Source organism: Homo sapiens, chromosome 7 (genome assembly GCF_000001405.40).
Source record: "Homo sapiens chromosome 7, GRCh38.p14 Primary Assembly".
In the NCBI taxonomy this organism is placed as follows: Eukaryota; Metazoa; Chordata; class Mammalia; order Primates; family Hominidae; genus Homo; species Homo sapiens.
The window spans coordinates 77,506,989-77,513,840 of NC_000007.14; the positions used below are offsets into that span (position 1 = coordinate 77,506,989).

The window sequence follows — 6,852 nt, forward strand, 5'->3', positions numbered from 1 at the left end:
TTGGGAATGGAAGCTACAAGAGTACCAGGCCACCTCAGCTCTAGACTAAGCCATTGTTTTTTGTTTTTTTTTTTTTTTTTTTTTTTACTCACAGCTGAAGCTATTCCTGACTGATACAGGAATCTAGTGGTAAGTTCTTTTTTCAGTGGGTTTAAGGTTGGTTTCATATCTTTAAGCTGGACAGATTGTCAGATAAATGACTTAAGAGTCAGAACTAATTACCTTTGTACAAATGGAAGGACATCATGAATCTGTATCATTGTAAGTAAAATACTATGACTTGATGATGACTATTTGCTGAGATACTGTGACTTTTCTAATATATGATGATAATAACAGTAATGACACTTATATTCTCCACGGCTGTTGAGATTAACACTTTTGGCCATAGTACATTGATTTAGGTTTTAAAACATGACACTAGAAAGACTAAAATAATTAATTTAATTAATAAGTTTAAACATGAGAAAAAACAAACTAGTTAAATTTACTCAATTTGGTCAAAATGTCTGTTTTCAATATGCTATATCCCTTGATAGTTTTCTGTTACCTGAAGATATTTTCAAGTTGTCTTTTTATTTTTTTAATTACAGACATACATAGTTGTTTTATAGTCTGTGGATCTGTTTCTAATATCTGCTGTTTCCTTTGAATCTTGCTTACAGGGCCAGACTTCCTTATGTACCTCAATATCTTTGTGCATTGCTCATTGTAATTGAAAATTTGTTTTATTTTTATTTGGGGGGGGGGGCGGGGTTAGGCTCCATTCTACAAAACAGAATGAAAAGGCCAAGATGGGCGAATTACCTAAGGTCAGAAGTTTGAGACTAGCCTGGCCAACATGGTGAAACCCCGTCTCTACAAAAGATCGAAAACTCAGCCAGGCATGGTGGCAGGTGCCTGTAATCCCAGCTACTCGTGAGGCTGAGGCAGGAGAATCACTTGAACCCAGGAGGCAGAGGTTGCAGTGAGCAGAGATCACACCACTGCACTCCAGCCTGGGTGACAAGAGCAAGACTCCATCTCAAACAAAAAAACAAAATATCAACCCTGGCCAGGCACAGTGGCTCACGCCTGTAATCCCAGCACTTTGGGAGGCTGAGGCAGGCGGATCACGAGGTCAGGAGATCAAGACCATCCTGGCTAACATTGGTGAAACCCCGTCTCTACTAAAAATACAAAAAATTAGCCAGGCGTGGTGGCGGGCACCTGTAGTCCCAGCTACTCAGGAGGCTGAGGCAGGAGAATGGCGTGAGCCTGGGAGGCGGAGCTTGCAATGAGCTGAGATCACGCCACTGCACTCCAGCCTGGGCGACAGAGTGAGACTCCGTCTCAAAACAAAAACAAAAACAAAACAAAAAAACAACCCCATTAAAAAATGGTCGAGTTTCCATGGTGAGATGGTCAACAAGCCTGTAAGTTCCTCAGCTACGACTACCAGGTACCTCGGGTTCCTCCCTCCTCCGAGAGACCGCCGAGGTGCGGGCTGTGAGAGAGGGAGCGTGGAGCCTCCGAGGCCGAGGACTCGGTCCCAGTTTGGACAGATAGAAGATCCTGCCGAGTGCCTGTGATTGCAGGCACGCGCCGCCACGCCTGACTGGTTTTGGTGGAGACGGGGTTTCGCTGTGTTGGCCGGGCCGGTCTCCAGCCCCTAACCGCGAGTGATCCGCCCGCCTTGGCCTCCCGAGGTGCCGGGATTGCAGAGGGAGTCTCGTTCACTCAGTGCTCAATGGTGCCCAGGCTGGAGTGCAGTGGCGTGGTCTCGGCTCACTACAACCTACACCTCCCAGCCGCCTGCCTTGGCCTCCCAGAGTGCCGAGATTGCAGCCTCTGCCCGGCCGCCACCCCGTCTGGGAAGTGAGGAGTGTCTCTGCCTGGCCGCCCATCGTCTGGGATGTGAGGAGCCCCTCTGCCTGGCTGCCCAGTCTGGAAAGTGAGGAGCGTCTCCGCCCGGCCGCCATCCCATCTAGGAAGTGAGGAGCGCCTCTTCCCAGCCGCCATCACATCTAGGAAGTGAGGAGCGTCTCTGCCCGGCCGCCCATCGTCTGAGATGTGGGGAGCGCCTCTGCCCCGCCGCCCCATCTGGGATGTGAGGAGCGCCTCTGCCCGGCCGAGACCCCGTCTGGGAGGTGAGGAGCGTCTCTGCCCGGCCGCCCCGTCTGAGAAGTGAGGAGACCCTCTGCCTGGCAACCACCCCGTCTGAAAAGTGAGGAGCCCCTCTGCCCGGCAGCCGCCCCGTCTGGGAGGTGAGGAGCCTCTCCGCCCGGCAGCCACCCTGTCCGGGAGGGAGGTGGGGGGGGTCAGCCCCCCGCCCGGCCAGCTGCCCCATCCGGGAGGGAGGTGGGGGGTCAGCCCCCGCCCGGCCAGCCGTGCCATCCGGGAGGGAGGTGGGGGGGTCAGCCCCCCGCCTGGCCAGCCGTGCCGTCCGGGAGGGAGGTGGGGGGGTCAGCCCCCTGCCCGGCCAGCCGCCCCGTCCGGGAGGTGAGGGGCGCCTCTGCCCGCCCACCCCTACTGGGAAGTGAGGAGCCCCTCAGCCCGGCCAGCCACCCCGTCCAGGAGGGAGATGGGGGGTCAGCCCCCCCACCCGGCCAGCCGCCCCGTCCGGGAGGGAGGTGGGGGGGTCAGCCCCCCGCCTGGCCAGCCGCCCCGTCTGGGAGGGAGGTGGGGGGGTCAGCCCTCCGCCTGGCCAGCCGCCCCGTCTGGGAGGTGAGGGGCGCCTCTGCCCGGCCGCCCCTACTGGGAAGTGAGGAGCCCCTCTGCCCGGCCAGCCGCCCCGTCTGGGAGGGAGGTGGGGGGGTCAGCCCCCCCCCCGGCCAGCCGCCCTGTCCGGGAGGGAGGTGGGGGGGTCAGCCCTCCGCCCAGCCAGCCGCCCCGTCTGGGAGGTGAGGGGCGCCTCTGCCCGGCCGCCCCTACTGGGAAGTGAGGAGCCCCTCTGCCCGGCCAGCCGCCCCGTCCGGGAGGGAGGTGGGGGGGTCAGCCCTCTGCCCGGCCGGCCGCCCCGTCCGGGAGGCGAGGGGCGCCTCTGCCCGGCCGCCCCTACTGGGAAGTGAGGAGCCCCTCTGCCCGGCCACCACCCCGTCTGGGAGGTGTGCCCAACAGCTCATTGAGAACGGGCCAGGATGACAATGGCGGCTTTGTGGAATAGAAAGGCGGGAAAGGTGGGGAAAAGATTGAGAAATCGGATGGTTGCCGTGTCTGTGTAGAAAGAAGTAGACATGGGAGACTTTTCATTTTGTTCTGCACTAAGAAAAATTCTTCTGCCTTGGGATCCTGTTGATCTGTGACCTTACCCCCAACCCTGTGCTCTCTGAAACATGTGCTGTGTCCACTCAGGGTTAAATGGATTAAGGGCGGTGCAAGATGTGCTTTGTTAAACAGATGCTTGAAGGCAGCATGCTCGTTAAGAGTCATCACCAATCCCTGATCTCAAGTAATCAGGGACACAAACACTGCGGAAGGCCGCAGGGTCCTCTGCCTAGGAAAACCAGAGACCTTTGTTCACTTGTTTATCTGCTGACCTTCCCTCCACTACTGTCCCATGACCCTGCCAAATCCCCCTCTGTGAGAAACACCCAAGAATTATCAATAAAAAAATAAATTAAAAAAAAAAATGGTCAAAGGACATGAACAGAGACTTCTCAAAAGAATATACACATGTGGCCAACAAGCATATGAAAAACACTCAGTATCACCAGTTAATAGAGAAATGCAAATCAAAATCAAAACCAGGGTGAGATACCATCTCGCACCAGTCAAAATGGCTATTTTTAAAAAGTGAAAAAATAACATGTTGGTGAAGTTGTTAAGAAAAGAGAATGCTTATACACTGCTGGTGGAAATGTAAATTAGTTCTGCCACTATGGAAATTAGTTTGGAGATTTCTCAAAGAACTTAAAACAGAACTACCATTCAACCCAGTAATCTCATTATTGGGTATATATCCAAAGGAATATAAATTATTCTACCATAAAGACACATTTCCTATCTCAAAAAAAAAAAAAAAAAGACACATGTACTCACATATACTTTGCAGCAATTTTCACAATGGCAAAGACATGGAATCAACCTAGATGTCCATCAACAGTGGACTGGATTAAAAAAATGTGGTACATATACACTGAGGAATACTACAGAGCCATAAAAAAGAATGAAATCATGTTCTTTGCAGCATGGGTGCAACTGGAGGCCATTGTCCTAAGCGAATTAATGCAGGAACAGAAAACCAAACCCCAAATGTTCTCATATATAGGTGGGAGCTAAACAATGAGTACACATGGACACAAAGAGGGGAAAAACAAGACACTGGGTTTTACTTGAGGGTGAAGGATGGGAGGAGGGTGAGAAGTGAAAAACTATCAGGTACTATGCTCACCACGTGGGTGATGAAATCATTTGTACCCTAAACCCCAGCAACAAACAATTTACCCATGTAACAAACCTGCATGTGTACCCCCTGCACCTGAAAGAAAAGTTTGAAGAAAAAAAATTTACTCTTACATTGTAAGTCTTGAAATATTTCCTTTAATTATTTTTATTGCTTTCCGTGCTTGTATTTTAGAGGTCATGCTTCTTTCATTACATTGTAAATGCCAACTTTTTGTGAAATTTTTTTCTCGTCTCTAATGAATTCATAGATATGAAAAAAAGAACTATTGTTTGACATCACATAGTAGCTTATGTTATTATCTTTTTCATGAATGTGTCTTATTTCCTCTATTAAGTATTAAACACCTAAAGGAAATCATGTCTTATACATCTTTGCATTCTCCATAGTATCCCACTCAATTTATTGGTGGGTTAATTGTGTTTCCAAAGTTTTGTGAAACTCTGTGACAATTATTTCAAGCATAAAACCAGTTTAGCAAGCATTGTGAAAAATAGAACACACTAATATGTATGGAATAACAGGAAGACATTGCCACGCTATGGTTTTCCCTCCTATATGTACTCTACATTTTGAGTGTGCTAGATACTTTACAGAATGAAGAGCTGATTTTCATGAAGTTAAGATTATTCAGTGCCTGAGTATCCAATTTGAAGACTACCTATGTCTTTTAGACATTATATTTCCCATTAATACCTCCAGTGAATGTCAGCTGGGAAAATGAGAGGAAACTCAAGTTAGCTGATGGAAGCTTCCTATTAATAGCTCTGTAGAAAAGTATGGTAGGGAGTTTGAAATTATTATTGAAGATGAAAATGAGGAAATACCCATAGATCGATTAGCTGTACTTGAGACGTGTTTATTTAAACATGTACATTCTAACGATAGTATTTTTATTCAGAGGGACCTTTGATAAAAGAGAACCTAGATGAGACAACAAAGTAATTTTTATATCCAGTGACCATACACTCCTGATTTTTCAGAACAGTTCCCATTTTAAATATTATGTCTGTTATTAATGCCCAACATGTCCTACCATGTATCCTGATTTATGACATAAATATGTCACAATATTTATAGGAACATTTGAGACACTTTTGAAAGGTCTCCTGGTGAACTTCATCTAGGTACTTCCAATAGACATTAAGTGGATTTTAGCAATTGCTCCACAATCCTTCCTAAGAAATTTTACAACTTCATATAAACATATAGAATAAAACCTCTTGTGCTATCCATTTGGAGTTAATGGAACCACCGTTCATTCAGTGGGAAACTGAGAATCATGAGTCCTCCCTCTCAGCCTCTTCACCCAGTAAGTCGCTTTTTATAGCTTGAATGTTTGTATTCCCCTCAAAATTCATATGCTGAAACTCCAACCCCCATTGTGATGGTATGAGGAGGTGGGGCCTTTGGCAAGTAATTAGGTTTAGATGAAGTCATGAGGGTGGAGGCCCCATGATAGGATTAGTGCCCTTATAAGAAGAGGAAGGGAAACCAGAGCTCCTTCTCTCTTTAAGGATACAGTAAGAAGGTGGCCATCTACAAGCCAGGAAGAAAGCCCTCACCAAGAATTGAATCTGCTTGTGCCTTGATCTTGGACTTTCCAGCTTCCAGAATAATGAAAAATAAATGTCTGAGTTTAAGCCACCCAGGCTATGGCATTTGGTTAAGGCAGCCCGAGCTAAGACATTTCTATATCTTGTACCATCCCTTCCCAATTGGCCTCACCATTTATCCTCCACAGTAAGCCAGAATGGTCTCTGAAAGAGCAAATACGTTCATGTTAACTCCACCTTAAGATAATCTTCCATGACTCCCCATTGCTGCAGCAGGGGGAGTAAGCTCAAATGTCTGCAGGGATAGCTAGGTAACCTAAATATGGAGGGGTGAGCCTGAGGAGACAGAAGACTAGAGAATGTACGTCTTTTTAAAGACATTCAAATTCAAGAAAAAAAAACCTACATCAAACAAAGAATATTTGTGGGCAAGATTCCTCCTGTGGGGTGAGAGTTTTAATTATTTTAACTTGTTAGCATAGTAGAACAAGTATCTTCATTATCTGGCTCCTATAAACAAAGATAATCTTCCGTGACTCCCCATTGCTGCAGCAGGGGGAGTAAGCTCAAATGTCTGCAGGGATAGCTAGGTAACCTAAATATGGAGGGGTGAGCCTGAGGAGACAGAAGACTAGAGAATGTACGTCTTTTTAAAGACATTCAAATTCAAGAAAAAAAAACCTACATCAAACAAAGAATATTTGTGGGCAAGATTCCTCCTGTGGGGTGAGAGTTTTAATTATTTTAACTTGTTAGCATAGTAGAACAAGTATCTTCATTATCTGGCTCCTATAAACATACATCATCCTCTCCAATTATTCTCAGTTGTGTGCTCCTCTCTGAAATTGCCAAGCATTTTTGCCCATGCCTCTTCCTCTGTCCAGAATGTCCTACTGGTGAATTTCTACTCAT

At 47.3% G+C, this 6,852-nt stretch overlaps 1 annotated feature.

The window, feature by feature from the left end:
• Window positions 1,698–2,673: an enhancer, noted in NCBI's record as "H3K27ac hESC enhancer chr7:77138003-77138978 (GRCh37/hg19 assembly coordinates)". NCBI's record gives its function as "activates a minimal SCP1, AML or CMV promoter by ChIP-STARR-seq in naive H9 embryonic stem cells {active_cell/tissue: H9 hESC(naive)}" and the evidence as "EXISTENCE:reporter gene assay evidence [ECO:0000049][PMID:30033119]".